We start from the raw sequence: 22695 nt of genomic DNA, 5'->3' as shown, positions 1-22695 counted from the left end.
GAGCAAAACATTCATGGCTGAACCAAACCCTTTCTTCAGAGGATTCCAGGCTTGACCTCTTGCTTCCCTGGAGATGGAACCCGAATCCATTCCACTGAACCTGCATGACCTGAGAGTGGGAGCAGGAGGAATCCCCCAAAAGAAGTCAGGGGCTGCCAGGAGTCGGATTCGTGGAGGCCAGGCACCAAGAAGCCACACGTCCATTGCAGTGCAGGAAGGTGGATTCACAAAAAGGCAGGAATCTTGACTGAGGTACCACAGCTGTATTCACATTGCAATTGAAGGACCACTTGGGACATGGAATTCCAGGGAGGCCACCTAGGTCTGCCACCCACATTCCCCTCTTTCTTCGTGGTAACTAAATCAGTATTCAGCTGTCAGCTATGGAAGGAAAACGGTGCCTGAATATTCCAGTTCTCTTCCATTCCTAGCTTACCTGATTGACCCAAGTTGGGTGGGGGTCTTGGGTTTGAGGCCTCCCCACGGGCCTGTGGAGAAGAAGTTTGGATACCAGCAGAGACAACTTGGTCCATATGCGTCTCTGAGAGGAGGGCATCCCCCGTCCACACGGGCGAGGCAGCAGGTGGCCACCTGGCTCTGAGCTCTGAAGCCTCGCCTGAGTGCTGAGGTCCTCTTGTGGCCATCATAAAAACAGGCCGAGTCCAGATGAGGACAACAGTAAACAAAAATACATGCAAGACTCCACAGCCAGCAGGGGCTTTTGACCTTTGGCCACACAAAACTGCCTGTCATTTTTGTACCTTCAAAGATAAAAGGCCACATCCCTCCCTTGGGGGGTCTCCTTCACAATTTGTTCACAGGGAAATTCCTTGTGGGCCCCACGATCTTTACCCTAAAAGAGTTCTGTTGAATTTCACCCCGACAATGTAAATTACCAGTTTATCTTCACAGGTACAGGAGAAAGACGGGACCAGGAGTCATCCCTCCGCCCACCTGAGACAAATGCCTATTAGTGCAGGTTCACAGAGTGAGACAATGTGTAATTGACTATTCCTCTGCTGCCTCCTATGTAAAATGTGGATTCAGTGAATGCTGATCAAGGCCTCGAAAGAATACAGCCATTGCCCCTTTTTCCTATCCCCTCCCAACTTTTTTTCCCTCTTTCCCCTACTGCCTTCTCTTTCCACTTTAAATATTGAAGTCCCCAAACCCTGCTTGGACAAAGCAGAAATCTCAGATGTTCCTGTGGTTTTGTGTTCCTTTTTCCCAGGCACATCCTCAGTCTTGGCAAAATAAACCTCTACATTGATTGAGACCTGTCTCAGATACTTTCTGTTTATGGTAGGTTACAACTGTGCCTTATGATCTGTGCACCAATGGTTCATTTCCGATACGTCATCGTACTTGCAGCAGGATTGCCCAAGAAGGTCAAAGGGCCTTTGCCCTGGGCTCAAGGGTAACCTGCAATGTTTTGCATTTTTCCAGGAGTTTGGTGGGAATAACTCGGACAGCCCCGTATGGGCCTGGCCTGGCACTGTGTCAGCCGCATCCCTCCCACTGTCTGCCTTAGACTCCTTGGAGTCGTCCATTTGCTTCTGTCCAGGACTGTCCCTCAGATTCAGAGCTCACAGCAGCCCAGTTGCCACAGCCCTGCCTTAGGAGTGTCAATGAAAACAGCCAAACTCTAAAATATTTGGAGAGATTTATTCCGAGCCAAATGTGAGTGACCATAGCTCGTGACACAGCCCAGGAGGTCCTGAGAACACATTCCAAAGGTGGTCGGGGCAAAGCTTGGTTTGTATGCATTTTAGGGAGACAGAAGACATCAATCAGCACACATGAAGTGTACGTTGGTTCAATCCAGAAAGGTGGGACAACTCAAAGGGCAGAGAGGGCTTTTAGGTCATAGGTGGATTCAAAGATTGTCTGATTGGCAATTGGCTGAAAGAGTTTATCCAAAGACCTAGAACCAATAGAAGGCAGTGTCTGGGTCAGGATAAGGGGTTGTGGAGACCAAGGTTCTTATCATGCAGATGCAGGCTCCAGGTAGCAGGTTTTAGAAAGAACAGATGGTTAGTGTTTCCTATCAGACTTAAAAGGTGCCAGACTCTTAGAGGATTCTTTCCTGGATCAGGAAAAAGACTTGGAAAGGGAGGGGGGTTCTCTAGAGAATGTAGACTTTCCCCACAAGAGAAAGCTTTGCAGGGACATTTTAAAATATATCAAAGAGGCTGGGCACAGTGGCTCATGCCTGTAATCCCAGCACTTTGGGAGGCCAAGGTGGGTGGATCACTTGAGCTCAGGAGTTCAAGAGCAGCCTGGGCAACATGGTGAAACCCTGTCTCTACCAAAAATACAAAAACTTAGCCAGCTGTGGTGGCACGCATCTGTGGTCACAACTGCTTGGGAGGCTGAGGTGGGAGAATTGCTTTAGCCCAGGAGGCGGAGGTTGCAGTGAGCCAAGATTGCACCACTGCACTCCAGCTTGGGTGACAGAAAGCGACCCCATCTTAAAAAATAAATAAATAAATGGTAATAATAAACATCTGTCAAAGAAATATATTTTGGGGTAAAATACTTTGATTTCCTTCCTTTCTGAGGCTGCTTAAGACCCCATCGTATGTGTGAACTGCACCATGTTAATCCATCCACCCACCCACTCGCCCACCTATCCACCCATCCACCCACCCAGGAACACGGGGCTGCTTCCACCTTTGGCTGTTGGACACAGGGCTGCGGTGAACACGGGTGGACAGACATCCTTCGAGTCTCTGCTTTCACTTCTTTTGGGTCTACGCCCAGCAGTGGAATTGCTGAGTCAAATTGTCATTCTACATTTAACTTTTTGAGGAGCCACCATCTGGTCTTATGCACCGTCTCGCAGCCTGTGTAGCCCAACCTCCAGGCTGCCTCTCCGTGAACACTGAGAAGCTTAATGCCACCAGGAACGCGCAGTGCTCAGTGTGGGTTTTAACTTGTCTCAGTTGACGGAGGATTACTTTAACTCAATGCCAGTTTTGACTGCACAAGGGGGCCTGCCCTCTTCCTTTCTCTCCGGCATGGAGACCCAGCAGCTGGGTCCCGGCTTCTCCAGCCCCAAAAGGCCTGAGCCACTGCCCTGGTCCATCCCCTGGTGTGGCGGCTAAGGAGGGCACGTGGATGAGCTGCACCACCGGGCCCTGGCCAGGGCCTCCACCCCAGAATGTCTCAGGGCGGGGCCGCTTCCACTCAGCACAGCCATCTGTACTTTAGCGATGTCAAAGAGAAGCCACCAAGCTCAGCAAACACCCTGCCTGCCTTTCACACAGGATCCCTGAGCGACACCTGTGCTGGGAGCGAGCCCTCCTCTGAGACAGCGACACAATCAATCCTCAGCCTTTTAGTCCAGGAAGATATGTCCTTAAGGGATCACCTCCCCAGGTGTCTGACGGGGGTTGCAGAGCAGCACCGAGGCCTGTGTGTCCATGGGCAGTGTGGACGAGTGGAAGAATTCTAAACTCCCAGAGGATGCCTGGGGTGAGGCAAGCCCTGGGGGTGAGGGAGAAGGGAGCACGGCCAACTTCTCTACCTCTTTTCCGTGCATCCTCTGCAGGCAGCTCTTGAAGGCAGGAGCTGAAGGCTTAGTGCTTTGCAGGACCAGCTGTGATGGTCACTGGCAGACAGCACCAAGGGACCTGGGCACAGGACTGAGGGAGGCCACTGGGCAGGGCTGAGGGAATCCCACGAGGGCCACCCGCACAGGGGGTCCCTCACAGACCCCTCAGCCCTTAGAGTCCCAGTAGGAGGGTCTTCCAAAGAAGTGAGGGGAGACACCAGAGGTGATGGTCAGGGCATGCACAGCACATGAGCTGTCACCACGGAGGGCAGCTGCCGTTTTGTGGGAAGGGTGGGCAGTGCTCCAAGTGGGCTCCTCCCTGGCCACGTGTACCTCCATTTCCCCATCTGAAAAATGGGCAAGACAACAACAGCCCCTTCCTCACAGGGTTGCAGCGGGGATTATCCGAAAAGCACACACTGCCACTTGTAATGAGTGAAGGGGCCAACACACCACAAGCCATGGCACCTCCAGCCAGCTTCCCTTCTGCAGAAAATTCACAGGACATGAGACAAGGGAATCAACCCAGTCCCTCTCCTGCTTTCTGAGGGCAGCTCTCCCTGAATGCCGGTTATCCGGTTATAATAAGATCGGTGAGTCCCCTCAATCACAGAAATATAAGAGACCATGGACGCCACAGGGCCAGTTCTCTGCTTTGCAGTCTTGCAGTGGGCAGCAATGCTGAACACCATGGAGCAGGCTGAAATACATGCGCACTGAAGCCAGGAAGAGGCTGATCTGTTCCTGGGATTCCTGGACTCAGCAGGATGAGGAAGGGACCACAGCAGAAGCTCCTTCCCACCCTCCCCACCCCCACAGGCCCTGCTCGGGTGAAGGGGTCACCAAGCTGCTGGGGCCCTGCTGGCCCCCAGGCTGGCTGGGCTGTGGCCTGTACTTGTGAGATCTCAGAGAGTGGGTTATTCATGTCACCATGGAGGGTGCAAATCTGCAATGAATCATGTCGTCCTCAAGAGCCTCCACCCCCAGATCACAGCGAGAAGCAAGTTTGTTTGGTCCACTCACTCAGCTCACTGCGGCTGAATCATCTTCACCTGCTCAGGTAGCATGGGGTCCTCAGGTAGATGCTCACCATGTTCAGGTAGCACGGGGTCCTCTGGTAGATGCTCACCGTGTTCAGGTAGCACGGGGTCCTCAGGTAGATGCTCACCGTGTTCAGGTAGCACGGGGTCCTCAGGCAGATGCTCACCGTGTTCAGTTCCACCTGATGCATAGGGAAGGGGCTTCCAAAAGGCAGAGGGGTGGCATGGACTTGCCAGGGTCTGGTGTCTCTGGTCTCCTGGCAACATCTTGCCAGCCCTTAAGCTCACCTGGGCATTCACAGCCAAGCACAACTGGAGGCCATGCGGCCCATTCCCAGGTCCAGCCTGGGCCTGTGCCCACGGAGCCCCTGGCTGCAACCGCATTCCACTCAGACCCTTGCCTCCCTGCTCCTCCCCTGCGTCCTTTCTTCTTGAAGCAGCTTTTCCTCCCCACGCTACCTCCACGTGGTTTCTTCTTGCAGCAGCTTTTCCTCCCCACGCTACCTCCACGTGGCTCCAAACCCGGTGGGAGAGTTCCCAGCATCGCTCTATGCTTGTCTAAAGTCCACTCAGTTCTGAATCTCGAACTCTGAATCCAGAGTTACTACGTGTTTGGTTGCCAGCCAGCCCAGGGCAGGGGGATGCGTTCACCTGTTCGGGGGAGGAGATGGGGTCGCTGCACTCAGCCACGTTACGCGGAGTTCATCTGGGGAAGGAGACAAATTTCTCCTCAGTCTGGGAGTTTTCTGAGGGAAAAAAGTTTTGTGCATATTGTTCTTCGTATTGTAATTCAATAGAAAGTCGAATACTTTTTTAACAACGTGAAAACTTCCGTCACGATACTGCAGGTGGATCTCTTGCCCTCTTCCTGCCTTTCCTTTGGGATGGCTGTCAGGAAGTCACGGCCAGCTTCACGTCTTTGTGCTGGGTAAACACACGGGCTATTTGTGTTGGCACCAGCAACCGTACCTGCCACAACCTCAAGTGATCTAAAGCCCTCTGGGTCTTCTGGGCACAATGCACTATTGACTCAAAACTCTGCCTAATAACACATCCTGCCTAGGTAGAAAGCAAAGTTCTAAAAGCCAAATTCACAAGCACGGATTGCTCAGCTTCACGGGCTGTTATCTGCCCTGTACGTTAAAGAAAAGCTGGTGCCATTGAGCAATAGCAAGAACATGATCCGTTTAAAAATCAAGCTGTTTCCGTAAATAAATCAAGAGTTTCAGTAAATAAATGACATTTTGAAACTAAAAATTTAGTAATAAAGCTTTTATAAGAACGTGCCCATCACATCACCATGCTTTTTTATCTGCCAGCAATTTAACATCTATGGCAGAACAAGGAAAACAATTAAAATAATCTGGAGACATGGATTAAAATCTCAGCTTTGACTCTACCAAGCATTTGATCCTGGCCTTTCAGTTTCTGTAAAAGGGGGTGATGGTGCCCACTTCCAGGCAGATGTGAGGACTTAAAGAGACGGAAGATGCCAGCCCCCGTCCTAGGGCTCAGCATCTAGAGGGTGCCCAATCTGTGTCTCCTTTTTAAGGTCTTAGCAGACAAAAGCTGTGGTCCCTGAAGAACTTGCATACCCCCAACAGGAATCAGCCTCCAATTCTAACTCACAGAGGAAGATGGGGACCTCGGGGTGACCGGCAGACGTGATCCTGGGGGACCTCGGGGTAACCGGCAGATGTGATCTGGGCTCGCGGGAGCCACAAACCCGCAGTTCTTATGTTTCTTGGGGAGCCAGAACCCTTTGAGAATTTGATGAAAGTGCCAGACTCTATTCCCAGAAAACAATAATAATAAGTATGATAATCCACACATCCAGAATGGGGGGCCTTAGAGACCACTCCCCACATGAAGGCTTACCCCTGGAACAAGCTCCAAGCTGTACCTTAGGGGGTTCACAGAAAGGTTCCAGAGACCATGTGGCCCACCCCACCTCATTTAAACAGTGAGCTGGAAGTGTGCTCAGGGCTAGAGAAATATCACGCAGAGTCAAGACGAGATTCGGACTTCCTGCACTTCATCCATGGAGCAGGGGGAGGAGGAGGGAGGAAAACCATAAGAGAATGTTGTCGGCAAAGCCAAAGAGAGCCTGTTTCTGTCACTGGAAGGAGTGGGGGCTGCCATGGTAGGGCTGCTGGGAGCACTTGCTGAGCCCAAGGTCCACCCTGAGCCTGGCACTGCCCTCACCGGGAGGCAGAGGACCCACTCAGACGCTGCCCGGCCCGTGTGGAGCAGAGACTGTAGCAAAGACGGGACACATCACCATTTACTAAGTAACTCATTATGCAAGCCGGTTAACAAGTGACATCAAGGAAAAGTTGCAGGAGCTATGAGCGTGTCTAACAGGAGATTCTGACCCCAGGGGGGTTTAGGGCTGGAATTCACCTTACGTTAACCAACCCTCAGGAGGTCACTGAGGACCTCAAGGGGAGCAGCTCCAGGGGGCTGCAGGGATGCCACATGGCAGGGTGGGGTCATGGTGGATTTGCAGAGACACTGCATGACAGGGATGGGGCGAGGCCATCATGGAGTCACAAGCCACCAAACATCTCACGTGCAAACACTCTGTGAGGTGTCGGGGGCACGGTCAGGAAGAGGCCCCAGGGTGCCTGGCCTTGCGGTTTACAGGTGGGTGTCGGGGCAGATGTGCCAGGCAATCAAGGAGGAGGCCCAGGAAGGGGGTAGTGAGGAATGTGGTGTGAGCCGACTGCTTGCTCAAGTCGGCTTCCGGGGAAAGGGAGAGGCTGTGCCAGCAAGGGGGACTCATCGGCAGGGACCCTTCCCATCCTGAGGATGCCATGGCAGGTGGGAACTGGGCACTGAGGTGTGGAAAGCTCCTCTGAGGCTCTCGAGCCCCCAGAAGCTGCACCCCCATTTCTCTGCCTTACCTGCTTGTACCTGGCTGAGGTTCGAATGTGTCCCCTCCAAGACCCAGGCGTTGCCGACGTGATAGTGTTGGAGGATGACTAGCTCCAGGTCTCCTCCCAGTGAAGGGGATCAAGGCCGTCACACAAGAGGCTTCCTGCGGCCTCCAGCGCCCTCTAGCCTCCAAGAACACAGCCAGGAGGCCCCGGGGACGCCGGCGCCTTGATCTTGCACCCCCAGCCTCCAGAAATGTGGGAAGGAAACTTCTGCTCTTCCCCCTCACCCAGGCTCAGGATTCTACTGCGGCCACACAGCAGACTTGGCCACCAAGGCTCCCCCTGGACCCACTCGACCAGAGGTTTCCCTGCTGCAGACTGCCCAGGGCTGCTGCAGAGAACCGCGGCCTCTGAGGACACCACTCACGGCAGGGACGTCCAACCTGGCAGGTCTTCAGCCCGATACACGCACACCGCAGCACGTCCCCAGCCGCCAGGCCCGCCAGCTTCTCACACTCTGAGGAGTCAGCCTCCGATTCCAATTCACAGAGGACACCGGGGACCCCTCCCTGCAGGGCCACCTGGAGCTGACGGCGGCAGTGTTTTGGAGTTGCCCGACGCAGGTCACATTTGAACTTGTGGGAACTGCACGGCCTTGGGAAAACGACCTGTCTAGGAGACTTGCTCTCCTCACCTGTCAAATCACAACATCCCCCGTGGGGACTGAAGGAAAATGGGCAGCCCCTGGGCAGTGCCTGGTGGGAACAGCGGTCACCGTGGTGGACGCTCCAACTCCGGCCTCCCCTCTCTCCTCCCTCCAAGGCTCCGGCCCGGCTCCAGGTCCTTCCTTCCTGAACTTTGCGCCTCGTCCTCCTCCCACGGCACGGGCCCTCCTTCTTCCCAGCAGCTCTGCCCCCTGGTTCCGGGATGCCCTCCTGCCCACCAGGCCCATATCTTCTGTAGGAGTCCCCCAACTCCACCTTTCTCTTCAACACCAGCTCCCCGCACCGCAGGGATTCGCCTCTTCTCCCGCCACAAACTCTCCCTGGGCAATGCCTGACCGTTTCCTGCCCCCGTTCCCAAACCCTGTCTCCAGCCCAGACTGTCTGCTGGGTTCCGTCCCAGGGCGTCCCCTGGTTGCACCCCGGCCCCTCTCAACCACCTGCGGTGCTCGTCTAGGCCACAGCTGAGTTCCCCCCTCCCTCGGCTCTGCTGAGGTCCTTATCGGGTCCGTGGCTTCAGAATCACTGCTCTGTTAAAAGTGGGGTCCTCCCTCCTTTCTGCTTCATGTGGAAGGATCAGCGTGTCTGAGCTTCCTGCCTTCGTGTCCTGATGGTCACTCACGGAGACCTTCCTCCCGCTCCTGCCAGCCCATCTCCTGCCACACAGGACTCGCCGAAGTCGGACTCGCCGAAGTTGGAGGCTGCCCATGTGATTTCTTTGTTTTTAAACTTTCAGTGGCTCCCATTTTCTGGCTGAGAGGGGCCTCGCTCTCCAACAGGGCATCTCATCTCAGATGCCTGCAGCCCCACTGCCCGTCCCACCCGTCCTCTCTCCCACCCCACGGCCAGGCCAGGCCCTCATCCCTCCGGCTATCCTTCCCTTCCCACTCCCGCCGCCTCTAGGAAGCCCCCGCAGGACCCCACGCGGCGCCCTCGGGAGCTTTCGTATCGCTCTGGACCCACCACATGGAGAATGTGTGTGCGCGTCTGTTTTCCCAGCGCGGCCGCGGGCACCCAGCATTACGCTGTCACAGGGCGGGTGCTCCTTGACATCTTCTATGACGTTTTGTTAACTAACATATTTCCCATGACATTAATTAGAGATTCAAACATGCAACAGGGATGAGACATCTACCTTTTTAAATTAATGCGGAACTCCTAGATACACTGCATTGGAATCCATCGCTGCTGTGGCTTTCCAGGGTTCCTCTTGTTTCCTGGGAACAGGAAACGGTTCAGAGATGCGTGGACACCGCTGGGGGCTGCACCCTGGGCTTTCTGGAAACAGGCAGGTGACACCTCCCTCACACAGCACCGAGGCAGAGGCCCCCATTGTTTTCCACGTGACTTTCAAGTACAAATCTGCTCTTGTGGCTTAGCCTGAGGAAATTAAGTTTGTTCTTGTTAAGAGAAAAATATACTGTTAGGGTGTTGGTATTTTTTTCCGTGGCCTATAATTAAAGATGTCTTAGGCTAATGCAGCACTCCCAGTGAGAGAGAAGCACGGTCTTTAGAGACCTGGGTGCTTAAAAACAAATTTCCGGTGGGATGATCATCTGAGCACTGCTAACAAAAGGCTCATTCTTAGTGGAAGGGAGTTGGAAGAGTACACTGTAATTAACGATGCCCACGGTGGGGAGGGCGGGGTCCCAGGGAACCGCTTCTTCATGCCCACAGCTGCTGAACTCCAGCAGTACCGAGCGTGTAACAGATGGCAAAACTCTGGGAAATTAAACACACATGTAAATATTTTAAAGATAATTTAACAACAACAACAACAACAAAAAAGCCACATAGCACTTCAGCCCCAGAAGTCCTCCAAGGACCAAAAGGTTGTCTTTAGGAGTCGGAAGAGAAGAGGCACAGCAGCCCCCAAAGTCATCAGCCCCAGGCACTCCCCTCAGAGGTCACAGCACTTCCCTCCCAACCTGGGACTGTGCAAAACCTGAACTTAGGGTGGGGATGGGAAGGAGGTGGAGTTTGCTTTTTATTCCCAATGGAGAAGAAAGAGTTAGTATGTATTCTAATTTTTTATAATGAAGGGACTATATCCTTCTGAGCAGTATTTAATCATATGGTGTGCCTGGGAAGCCTCAAAAGGCAGATTTCTCACCAGCCAAATGCTGGTATGGGGGTGTCACTGTGGCCCACACTCAGGACACAACCATAGCCTGTCAGCTTTCAGCTCACAGAACACCTGCTGGGCAGAAACCCCAGGTGGATGGCTGCCCACCTTCTCCTCAAGGCTGTGAGTCCCGAACATCTTATGCCCTCCCCAAGAAGCCTCCCCAGGCACTAAGTCACCCCAATTAAAGGAGGCTATTCATTAGGTGAATATATGATTCAAATTTATCCTCATATCGTTCCTATTTCTCCCTCTCTCTCATACACGCGTACACACACACACACTCACCATAGTTTTGGTATCTGAAGGGGCAGAATGCCTGGACCATGCACACCTTGTAATAATCCTCCAGTTAAAAAAAAAAAAAAAAAAGCGAACCCTCCCATTTCTCTCCACAAGCCCAGTGATTTTAAATCGAAAAGAGTTCAGGGCTCCTGAGTCCATCGCAGGCAGTGGCTTGAGCCCTGCATGGAGCCTGACCCTGGAGCTCTGCTGAGGACCTGCCCAAGGGCGAGGGGCAGGGGCAGAAAAGCCAACTCAGGACATTTACACAAAGTTTTAAAACCAGCACCTTAAACACAAACCATTTACAATGTGGTGGCTCTTTTCACTTCATCCTAACAGTTACCCCCTCGAGTGAGCACAGGGGTAACCACGTGGCTTCCGGAGTCACGCAGGTGCCACTGACATCCAGCCCCACCTCCTGCGAGCTGCCTGCATGCCCCCAAGCCACCATGTCTTCCTCTGTCACGGGGGACTGTGGAGATAATCCCACCTCCCTGAACCAGCATGAGCCCTCCATGAGAAAGTGACAGTGCCAGGCAAATGCCATGCTCTCGCTACGTGTTGGCAGCCTTACTCTTGGCATTTACTGAGCACCTACAGCTAACAACATACTGTCTCAAGGCCTGCCTCAACTATCACCTCCTCTAGGGAACTGGCTGTGCCCTGACCTCAAGGTCCGCCTGCCACCTGCCTGCAACCCCTCAGTCTCCCTCCTGGATGGTGGCATGACTGCCAGCCTGCCAGATTCCTGAATTCCAAACCTTTCTACCTGCACCCGGCCCAGCCCCCGTGCCATGGGACTGGAGCTGATTGAACACCTACAATGTGCCTCCCAACACTGGCTGCCAAACGTGCAAAGTTGAACAGATCGCAGGACGCACGTGGAGGCAGACCCTCGCAGGCGGGACGTCAGGTGCACAGCGCAGGACACGTGAGGCGGCCGACCCTCGCAGGCGGGACGTCAGGTGCACAGCGCAGGACACGTGAGGCGGCCGACCCTCGCAGGCGGGACGTCAGGTGCACAGCGCAGGACACGTGAGGCGGCCGACCCTCGCAGGCGGGACGTCAGGTGCACAGCGCAGGACACGTGAGGTGGCCGACCCTCGCAGGCGGGACGTCAGGTGCACAGCGCAGGACACGTGAGGTGGCCGACCTTTGCAGGCGGGACGTCAGGTGCACAGCGCAGGACACGTGAGGTGGCCGACCCTTGCAGGCAGGGACGTCAGGTGCACAGCACAAGACACGTGAGGCGGCTGACCCTTGCAGGCAGGGACGTCAGGTGCACAGCGCAGGACACGTGAGGTGGCCGACCTTTGCAGGCGGGATTTCAGGTGCACAGCGCAGGACACGTGAGGTGGCTGACCTTCGCAGGTGGGACGTTAGGTGCACAGTGCAGGATGTGTGTGGGGGCAGAGCCTCGCCGGAGGGACGTCAGGTGCACAGCACAGAAGTATGACAACCAGGAGGGAGTGAGGGCTGAACGAGGTTCCGGAGCCAGCTATGCAGTGTAACCACAGCCTCGGGGCCTCAGGGAGAAGGTCTAGAAAAGCCAGTGTGAAGTCTGGGCAGAACCCCAACCCACAGCACCCTTACAAAGCTTCTATCACACCCCGGTCCATGGGAAGGGGCTTCTGCCTGGGTTTCATGAAGTGTGTCCAGCTCCATCCTGAGCCCCTAATGCCAGGACAAATGCACCTGCCGGGGTTCCTGCCTCCCACCTTCCCAGCAAGTAGCTGGATTCCACGCCCATCCAGACAGCCGTGAAGCACCGCACACATACTCATCATGGGTCCCCACTCCCCGAAACTCCTGCCTGCAACAGCATATCCCCTCAAAGGCAGTGCTGGCCCAGGTCAAGGTCAAGCCAAGGTTGCATGGCCTCTGGACGTGGCTGCCCTCACCCTGGATGGGCACACTGGGCCCAGGGCCACCTAGCTTCACTGTCCTGCTGAGGTCCCTGGCCACAAGGCATGGCCTTTGAGGGGGGGCCTCTGCTGAATATCCACACCTGTGTGTGCTCCATGCTGCCCTGTCCACACCGCAGTCTCTAGTTACTTCTCTGTCTGCAGCACCCACTCATGGGCAGCTGAGAGCAGGGAGGATCTGACTTGTCTTTGGTCCCTGACACCTGGCAAGCAGCAAGCCAAGGGTGCACCCCATCTGTGTGTCAGCAATGTTGTGAGACTGTTAGCCTGATGTCATTTTGTACCCCCTAGACTAGGACACCCTGGTGCTCCCACCTGTGAACTCAGGAGGCACTGGTGGCTGGGTAAAGGGAGGGGGCACCGCTCAGCTGGGGAAGTAAGAACTGAACTGTGGTTCTGAGTGCGGGCACAGAACTCCAGGATGGGCTTCCTGACCAGGGAAAGTGACTTCTTCCCTGGAAATGGCTCCCTTACACCAGAAGGACATCTGGATACTGGGACAGACTGAGGGAGCACCAGAAATGCCAGGGAACTCTGCACCCAGCGAGCCGGCAGAGGAGAAGGGGCAGAGAGGACGGACTGAGGGGCTGCTTCCTCCAGGGCCAAGGCCTTGCCAGGAGCAAGCTGGCATGGACCCTTCTGAGCCATCTTTGTCTATAAGATGCTGCTCACAGGTGTCTGGAAACCTAAATGCCATGCAGGACGTTTCCATCTCACACGTCTACACCAAAGAAATCACTTTATTTGGGATGACTTCTGGAATTGTATAAGCTTAGTGTGTAAACAATTTGGACTTTTCCAATGATCCTCAAATTACGTCATTTACTCCTTCAATTCATGAGGCCATCCTCCATCCTCCCACTGAGGACACTGCTGACATTTTTCCTGCAGATATTAATTATATGATTGGTGACCCAGTCCTGTGATTTCCACATCAGTGACTGGAAAAAGCAGCCTGGGGCGTCCACTCTATGCCTCTTCCCAGCAAGCTCTGAGTCTGTCCCTGTGGCTTTTAACATAATCTGACCTTCAGCTGCTCCCCCACCCATCCCCGCTTGCTGGCCATGCCCCATGGAGGGCGGGGCACGTCATGTCTTTCGCCAGCCTAAGATGCACAGGATTCTTCAGAATTGCACCTGCGTTTCTAGCTCCTCATTATTCTCCCTTCACCTGAAACGGCCTCCCCAGCTCAGCCCCTTCTTCACCAATAAGACCTAACACTGCGGACCTGGAATCATTCTTCAGACCAGCCCAGATGTCCCCCCGATGTGCCCGCCCCCGCCCCAGCTCACATCCTTTGACAACAGTGAGCCCAGCCACCTGATGGCCCAAGAGCCCTGCCAAACATGAAACAGAGCAATGGGTTTTTCTCAGGACGTTTCTGCAGCCACAGGGCCCAGGCACAACACCCAGCTCCTGGCAGTTAATCAGCAAGTGTTGCTGAATGCATTTTTAAATTTACAAATGTAACATAACATCTCATAAATCTTGAAAATAGATCATTTACAATAACCAATAATGTGGTCACCTAAACACAGCTAATATTTCTATAGGTTATTTTAGAATCATAATCTTTATATTAATTAAGATAATTATGTATTATCTTATTACATAATTATTATCCTTTTGCACATAAAGTCTAGGGATAGATAGGTTTTTATGGGAAGTTGAATAAGAAACAAAAGCCATTTCTTTCAAAGATTTTCATTCAAGAAAGAAAAAAACAATAGTGTATGAAATAATGAAACTGCCTCAAAAAGCTAAAAAAAATGACTAATAGAAATTCTTGATTTTATAGGATGACAGATTAAAAAAAAAAACTTGAGAAATACAAGCCCTCCCTCCACTCATGAGATGAAGGAGCTGGTGAAAACGGGCTGAGCCCAAATGGCCACTGGAGTCTGTGGAGAACGCATGTGCTGACATCACAGCCTGAATTTCCACCATGGGTTTCATGCTCACTCCTGTGAATCTGCACATGTGACTGAGGAGGTAACATGAAGAGGTGACTGCCTGATATGGCTAGGCTTTGTGTCCCCACCCAAATCTCATGGTGAATTATAGTCCCCATAATCCGCATAACCCCCACGTGTCAAGGGAGGTAACTGAGTCATGGGGGCAATTTTCCCCAAGCTGTTCTGGTGACAGTGAGTGAGTTCTCATGACACCTGATGGTTTTATAAGTGGCTCTTCCCACTTTGCTCAGCACTTCTCCTACCTTCCACTTTGTGAAGAAGGTGCCTGCTTCCTCTTTGACTTTCTCCATGATCGTAAGTTTCCTGAGGGCCTCTCCAGCCATGCGGAACCGTGAGTCAATTAAGCCTCTTTCCTTTATAAATTATCCAGTCTCAGGAAGTTCTTTATAGCAGTGTGAGAACAGACTAATATAGTAAATTGGTACTGGGAGTGGGGTACTGCTATTAAGATACCTGAAAATGTGGAAATGACTTTGAAACTGGGTAACGGGCAGAGGTTGGAATAGTTTGGAGGGCTCAGAAGAAGACAGGAAAATGTGGAAAAGTTTGGAGCTTCCTAGAGACTTCTTGAATGGTTTTGTCCAAAATGCTGATAGTGATATGGACAATGAAGTCCAGGCTGAGGTGGACTCAGAGAGAGATGAGGAACTTCTTGGGAACTGGAATAAAGGTGACTCTTGCTATGCTTTCACAAAGAGATGGGCAGCATTTTGCCCAGCCCTAGTGGAACTTTGAACTTCAGAGAGATGGTTTGGGATTGGAACTTAGGTTTAAAAGGTAAGCAGAGCATAAAAGTCTAGAAAACTTGCAGCCAGACAATGGGATAGAAAGTAAAAAAGAATTTTCTGAGGCGAAATTCAAGCCGGCTATAGAAATTTGCATAAGTAACAAGGAGCCAAATGTTAATTGCCAAGACAATGGGAAAAATGTCTCTAAGACATGTCAGAGGTCTTCATGGCAGCCCTCCCATCACAGGCTGGGAGACCTAGGAGGAAAGAATGGTTTTGGGGGCTGGGCCCGGGCCCTTGCTGCTTTGTGCAGTCTCGGGACTTGGTGCCCTGCATCCCAGCTGTGGCTAAAAGGGGCCAACATACGGCTCAGGCTGTTGCTTCAGAGGGTGCAAGTCCCAAGCTTTGGAGGTGTACATGTGGTATTGGGCCTGCAGGTACACAGAAGTCAAGAACTGAGGTTTTGGAACCTCTACCTAGATTTCAGAGGATGTATGGAAAGGCCTGAATGTCCAGGCAGAACTTTGCTGCAGGGGCGGGGCTTTCATGGAGAACCTCTGCTAGGGCAGTGTGGAAGGGAAATGTGGGGTCAGAGCTCTCACACAGACTCCCTACTGGGGCACTGCCTAGTGGAGCTGTGAGAAGGGGGCCACTGTCCTCCAGACCCCAGAATGGTAGATCCACTGGCAGCTGCACAATGTGCCTGGAAAAGCCATAGAAACTCAATGCCATCCCATGAAAGCAGCTGGGAGGAGGGCTGTACCATACATAGCCACAGGGGCAGAGCTGCCCGAGGCTGTGGGAGCCCACCTCTTGCATTAGTGTGACCTGGATGTGAGACATGAAGTCAAAGGAGATCATTTCAGAGCTTTAAGATTTGACTGCCCCACTGGATTTCAGACTTGCATGGGGCCTGTAGTCCCTTCATTTTGGTCAATTTCTCCCATTTGGAATGGGTGTATTTATCCAATGCCCATGCCCCCATTTTATCTAGGAAGTAACTAACTTGCTTTTGATTTTAGAGGCTCATAGGCGGAAGGGACTTGCCTTGTCTCAGATAAGACTTTGAACTTGGACTTTTGGGTTAATGCTGAAAGGAATTAAGACTCTGGGGGACCACTGGGAAAGCATGATTGATTTTGAAATGTGAAAGAGGCATGAGATTTGGGTGGGGTCAGGGGCTGAATGATATAGTTAGGCTTTGTGCCCCCACCCAAATCTCACCTTGAATTATAATCCCCATAATCCCCATATGTTAAGGGAGAGACTAGGTGAAGGTAATTGAATCATGGGTGTGGTTTCCCCCCATGATGTTCTCATGATAGTGAGTTGTCATGAGATCTGGTGGTCTTATAAGGGGCTCTTACCGCTTCACTCAGCACTTCTCTCTCCCACCTCCATGTGAAGAAGTCCCTTGCTTCCCCTTCACCTTCCACCATGATTGTAAGTTTCCTGAGGCCTCCCTAGTCATGCTGAACTGTGAGTCAATTAAACCTCTTTCCTTTATAATTTACTCAGTGTCCAGCAGTTCTTTACACAGTGTGAGAATTGACTAATACCCTGCCCAGGCCCAAGGACTTTCCAGACCTCCCTTTTCCTTCTACCAGTCACCTGCTAATCCCAGGATCCACCCAGTGAAATTTTTTTAATAAAATTACCACCATGAAGCCAGTACGGAAAGGCAGATATGAGCTGGACGACTTTCAATATCAAGCTTTTCTTTTCTGAGAAACCCGGCATCATAGTATTGGCTTCTAGCACATCGTGCAATGAGCCCCTTTTACTAGATACCAATAGTAGGAAACTTACAGAAAGCAAAAGAGCCAATTTCATGGCACAAAATTATATGAAATAATTTGTCAACTAATTCAGTTTGTTTTGCATACAACAAAATGAAAAGGTCTTGTCCCTCTGACAATCTCATTTGGAAATCCTGTCTTGTCCTATATAGGAAATGTGAGACTGACATCAAGAAACACAAATCCATCACAAGGTGATGTCAGAAACGCACCTGCCAGGAGACAGGAGGCCGTGCTCCCATGGATGAGGGGAGGCAAGGCTGGGCTCATTCTTCCTGCCATGGAGGGTGGAAGTGTGGACAAATTGGCTCTGCAGGAACAGGCCACCTTGAACCAGATGCTCTGTAGAACAGCTAGTTAGGGAAATGTTCACTTTAATGGAGCATTAATATTAATAGACAGGCCGGGCACCATGGTTCACACCTGTAATTCCAGCACTTCGGGAGGCCGAGGCAGGTGGTTCACTTGAGGTTAAGAGTTCAAGACCAGCCTGAACAATATGGTGAAACCCCCATCTCTACTAAAAATACAAAAATTAGCTGGGCATGGTGGTGCACACCTGTAATCCCAGCTACTTGGGAGGCTGAGGCAGGAGCATCGTTTGAGCCCAGGAGGCAGAGGTTGCAGTGAGCCCAGATTGTGCCACTGCACTACAGCCTGGGCAACAGAGCAAGACTCTGTCTCAAAAAAAAAAATAGTAACAGATGACAGAAATATTCCCTAGAGAAATGAATTCCTCCCCCACAGAATGGGAGGGGGAAAGTGGCAGCAACAGCTTTCATGTTTTATCCTGAATGAGTTCATTAACAACTCCTCAACACTGACTGATCTAAACATCCACTTCTTTATCCAGGGGTGTGCAGAGACAATTTGGTGAATAGCCACTGCTTCAACTAAAGGGCTGAAACCAGAACATTCTCTCGCATTTTTAGGAGAGGTTGAATGAACTCTGGGCAAGGGTTCCTTCAGTTGGGTTGGGCCCCATGGGTGGTGAGTTCCCCCCAGTCCAGGGCCAGACCTTCCTCCTTCTGGTCCCAGAGCCTGAAAAATGAGCCCTGGAGTGGATTTTCCCCTCAAAGGCAGACTGGCGTTAGCCCAACACAGAAGCCTGGTGTGGAGAACTGAGTTCCAGAGGAATCCTTTGCACTTGGAGAAATAAAGCAGCCGCTCTTCACGGAAGGTGGCTATCAGAGCACGTGGGGCCAGGACACTGCTGGCTGTGCAATGAATCAGAGCTATGTGGAAAGTTCCATGATTTAAACATTTAGAAATAAGAAACACAATTCTCTCAAACTAAGCAAAAGGTGGTGAGAAGAGAACGTAGTGCTTGATCCAGCCCATCTCTCCACGCCCAGTGCTGACACCTGCTGCCGCCCTGGGCATCCCTGGCAGTCGACTGTGGCCGGAAGTCCTTTTTTTGTGCTTATTCTAACAATGTCATCCTGCCACATCCTCCCCCAAGTCTCTCCCAAAAGACAAAAACAATTACTCTTCCAAAAAGAAACAACTTTAACCATTAAAAAAAAAATGATCAGCAAATTGGACGTAAAATGTTGGCACATACTTGCAATTAATTTGCCTGAGGGTTGGGTGACAGTGATGTCAGGCTGGGCAGCATCGACCTTCACAGCAGGGCTGTGCCTGGGTGGCACCCCTGCCAGGGCAGGCTCAGAAGAGCCTCCTCACCCCCACCCTTTCCGTCCTTCCGTGAGTCCTTCCCTCCACGTGCGCCTACGCTCCGGGGTCACTCCAGTGTGCTCGGTTAGGTGACGGCCTGGCCTGGACCTCACACATCCTGGAGCCCATGTGCCTCTTAGGCTTTTCAGGCCCAGTGTCAGTACGTCCTTGAGTCTCACTTTCAAAGGCCATCCGTTTGAAACCCTGCCCCAAAGAGTTAAAGAAACCAACGACTAAAAGAACTTCTTGAGTTTACGGGATGGCAAATAAAAAAGGAAACAACTTACTGAAACGCTGCCACTCCCTCCACGTATGCAATGAAAGAAGTAGCCAAAATCAGCTAGAACCGAACGGCCCACTGGAGTCCGCAGGGAATGTACTTGCTGATGTCACAGCCTGAATTTCCACCGCAGGCTTCATGCTCACACCCCCGAGTTTGCACATGCCACCCTTGAGGCAGTGTGAAGAGCTACTGCCCAGGCCCAAGGACTTTCCACCAGTCACCTGCTAATCCCAGGATCCAGCCCCCGAGCCTTTTCTAATAAAATCACTGCCATGAAGCCAGCATAGGAAGACAGATCTGAGTGGACTCGTGTCTCCCTGGGAGTTGATTTTCAACAGCAAACGTTTCTTTTCTCAAAAACCCAGTGTCATAGTATTGGCTTCCAGTGCATCAGATAGGGAGCCCCATTTGCTCTACAGGGTCCTTGATTTCAGGACTTTCAAAGGAGGCTCATCCTTCAGGGATGTGGGGCCGTGTTCCCCTGAGATCCCCCACAGTCTAGGTACTGATGGCAACCACTCGGAGGGGATTTTGGGAACTGGTGGAAAATGTTTCTGTGTTCAATTTCCACATTAGGATGGAAGTATTATTCTACTAACGAGATTAAGTTGTTCTCCTGCTGCTCTTTTGTTCCCTTTTCTTCCGTTTCCCCCAAGCACACAGCGTTGGTGGTTTGCAGAAACACCCCTGCGCCAGCTTCACTGCCCCTGGTTCCAGTTCCAGCTCCACCATTCGTGTTAGGGCCTGAGGCAACCTCCTCCGTCTCTGTAAGCCTCATTTCCTCAACACAAAGTGAGAAATAACAGGAGTTTGGTTCTAACATGATTCTGAGGAGTAAATAGAGAAATTGCATGTGAACCACTGTGGACCGTCACCCTTGAGGCAACGTGAAGCACTGGCCACTGTGGACTGGAAAAGTCACAAAATCTATAAATTTAGACAGAGCTTTACTTCTAAACGAGGGTAGCTCAGCCTGTGGGCCAGAAGCAAGGCCTCCAACCAAAACCGAAAAGCAAGCACTTCAGGAGAGGGAAGGAGGAGACAGGAATTCGTGCTGAACAGGCTGGCTGGGTGCACATACTCACCAGGCTGCAGGAAGAGCCATGGATATTCATGAAGGGGGGGTTGCAAGCGTGCGCAGTTGGCTAACACGTATGTTACATGAGACCCACGCTCATTTGGGTGTGGAGACTTAATATTTAACTGTATTTCAATCAGACCCTGTCCATCAGAAGGTGAAGCGGGGACAGGAAGATACTCAGCACACAGCCTCCGTAGAGGGCCAGAGCCACTCCGAAGTTGGTGCTCTCTTGTCGGGAAGGGACGCTGGTCGGATGTTTAAGTTCGCAGTGGGGGAGGCTTTCCAAGGGGCCAGTTACTGTGTAGTCCTTAAGAAGCCTGATGGTGTTAGAGAGTGGGGCAGGGAGGAGGCAGAGCGAGGCATTTCTTATAAGGTTTCTCAGGGATCCCCCTGGCCAAGGGGGGTTCATTTAGTCAGCTGTGGGGCTTAGAACTTTATTTTTATTCCTCACCACCTGTGCAGGTGCTCAGTAAATGCTGGCTTTACCTGGCGTGAGTTCCCCCAGGTATGTAGGACCAGCCTTGGACTTCAGCAGTTAACAGAAAGGTTTTCGGTTGTAGAAAAGCAGCCCCAGGGACCCGAGGTGGGAGCCCAGGAGCACAGGCCTGGGGGCGTTCCTCTCTCCAGGGGCTGCTGCCCCACAGCCACACATGTGCCACGTCTTTGACATATGTTCCCTCAATCCCAGGATTTAAAAAGCAGGGAAGTGGAGCCAGGGTGGAAATGAACAGCCAGGGACATCACATCCCTGGGGTCCACAGCACGGGTCCCCATGGCCTGAGGTCTGAGAATCCTGCTCCCATGGGACTTCCCCAGCCCCAGGACATAGAGAGATACAGGGAAAACCCAGGCTTCTAAGTCCAAAACTCTCTAAGTCATAGCTTGGCCCCTCATATCCATGGGATCCCAGGCAAGTTAGTCAACCTCTCTGGACCAGTTTCCTTAGCTGTAAAATCCGGGTGATACCAGCATCGTAGGCTGGTAATCAGGATTTAGGTGAAGTGGATAAATACACAGACAAAAAAATAAATGAGCGCTCATCAAACTGTAGCTGGTCACTACTATCAGCAAGAGAAAAGTGTGGGGCTCGCAGGAAAGCTGGCCCCGCAGACTGCTAGCGCAGAGGCATCTTAGAAGCCGTGACCCCAGCTCATTCTCCAGAGCACGACTATGGATCGCCTTCCACAAAGGCGCACCTCTAACCGTGCTGCCAAGACGAGGCCCGCTTTGTCCCAGGCACAGGCTAGAGGCCTAAGGCACGTCTCGGTGGAGGGACTTCCCTGGACTTGGGCCGGGGACATGTGTGGCTCGGGCTCTGATGCCCGTAGGATTTACGTGAAGCCAGCTCAAGTCCAGAAATGACTCACCTGCTTGCTGGGCAAATTCTGATTCTGTCCACGTGGCCTCAGCCCTGATTGCAAGATACCAGTTTGAATCTGCACCTGCCTGTTGAACGGAAACAAAGCATCGGCCAGGGGCTATTTTAGGACATCTACTGGGACCCACAGCCCACTGAAACCTGGGTCTCCCTGGAGGCAGGAGGCAGCCCCGTTTGTAGGAACTCTTCTTTTGTGAATAGCTTCTCAGCAGGCATTCTGATTAAGAAAGAAATCCTTTTAAAAGCAGAAAAATCACACGCTAGGATTTCTAGGTATTCTCATCAACTCTGCTGGAGCAAATAGTTACAATAATTTACATATATTTAAATAGATTTAAGTTAAATACAGTTTAACAATTTTTAGGATTAGATTGGCCAACTCAGCTTAAAAGGCTGAATAGATGGAAACTATTAACAGTTGAAAATATTCTTAAATAATCGCTTAGCTGCTGTTGGGACTCAGAAGACAATCCCCCAAAATGCAGGCTTCAGCAGCGGCCTCAGAAGCAAAAGGTTTCCCCGACCTTCTCCTGCCGTCCCTGCCTCTCGGCCCCATTCTCCCCTGAGGCACCACAGAAACAAGAATCCCTGTTCCTCCAGGAGAGTCATAGGAACCAGGACCCTTCTCCCCAAAGCCAGCCATAAAACCTGGAAATAGGACTCCCACTTTCCTCCGCCTTTCTCTGTAAAAACTGGCGGTGAGGAAATTATCGGACATACCTTGTTTGACTGCAGGTCATGAGATCCCCGTTCCAGAGAGGGCCCCGCCCCACAAAGGGAAGGGATGCTCCCCAGAGGGGCCAAGAGGAACCTGGACAGATGGGCCCTGCCACCCCCTCCGCCCACCCGCGTTACGCCCTGCCGCCCCCTCGGCCCGTCCACGTTAGGCCCTGCCGCCCCTGCCGCCCCTGCCGCCCCCTCAGCCCATCGGCGTTAGGTCGGGCCCTTTCTATCCAGGCACATTCCTACACGGCCATCCACACTGCCTTGAGCCCAAGTATAGAGATGGCCAATTCCCCTCCAATTCCCCTGTGTCTTTGGGTCTTCAGTCCCAAGGCCTCTGTGTACAAGTTAATCAGTTTGTATGCCTGTTCTCCAATTCACCTGCCTTTTGACAGTTGATTTTCCAGTGAACCTTCAGAGGGTGAAGAGACAGCTTTCCTGTCACTCCACACCTCGAAAGGTCCTTTTTTTCCCCCAGGCCTGTTCTCTAGCTCTGACGCTGGGACTCGCAGCTGGGA

The 22695-nt window shown here is 52.1% G+C and overlaps 5 annotated features.

The window, feature by feature from the left end:
* Window positions 6675-7323: an enhancer, noted in NCBI's record as "H3K4me1 hESC enhancer chr6:168595548-168596196 (GRCh37/hg19 assembly coordinates)". NCBI's record gives its function as "activates a minimal SCP1, AML or CMV promoter by ChIP-STARR-seq in naive H9 embryonic stem cells {active_cell/tissue: H9 hESC(naive)}" and the evidence as "EXISTENCE:reporter gene assay evidence [ECO:0000049][PMID:30033119]".
* Window positions 7324-7973: an enhancer, noted in NCBI's record as "H3K4me1 hESC enhancer chr6:168594898-168595547 (GRCh37/hg19 assembly coordinates)". NCBI's record gives its function as "activates a minimal SCP1, AML or CMV promoter by ChIP-STARR-seq in naive H9 embryonic stem cells {active_cell/tissue: H9 hESC(naive)}" and the evidence as "EXISTENCE:reporter gene assay evidence [ECO:0000049][PMID:30033119]".
* Window positions 8230-8797: an enhancer, noted in NCBI's record as "H3K4me1 hESC enhancer chr6:168594074-168594641 (GRCh37/hg19 assembly coordinates)". NCBI's record gives its function as "activates a minimal SCP1, AML or CMV promoter by ChIP-STARR-seq in naive H9 embryonic stem cells {active_cell/tissue: H9 hESC(naive)}" and the evidence as "EXISTENCE:reporter gene assay evidence [ECO:0000049][PMID:30033119]".
* Window positions 11267-12466: an enhancer, noted in NCBI's record as "BRD4-independent group 4 enhancer chr6:168590405-168591604 (GRCh37/hg19 assembly coordinates)". NCBI's record gives its function as "activates an origin of replication core promoter dependent on BRD2, P300/CBP, MED14 and CDK7 cofactors, and independent of BRD4, by STARR-seq in HCT116 cells {active_cell/tissue: HCT116}" and the evidence as "EXISTENCE:reporter gene assay evidence [ECO:0000049][PMID:35650434]".
* Window positions 21851-22558: an enhancer, noted in NCBI's record as "H3K4me1 hESC enhancer chr6:168580313-168581020 (GRCh37/hg19 assembly coordinates)". NCBI's record gives its function as "activates a minimal SCP1, AML or CMV promoter by ChIP-STARR-seq in primed H9 embryonic stem cells {active_cell/tissue: H9 hESC(primed)}" and the evidence as "EXISTENCE:reporter gene assay evidence [ECO:0000049][PMID:30033119]".

The sequence above is a fragment of the Homo sapiens genome, chromosome 6 (genome assembly GCF_000001405.40).
Source record: "Homo sapiens chromosome 6, GRCh38.p14 Primary Assembly".
NCBI classification, from domain to species: domain Eukaryota; kingdom Metazoa; phylum Chordata; class Mammalia; order Primates; family Hominidae; genus Homo; species Homo sapiens.
Note: the sequence above shows the minus strand (reverse complement) of the source record. Positions and strands in the feature narration are given on the sequence as shown.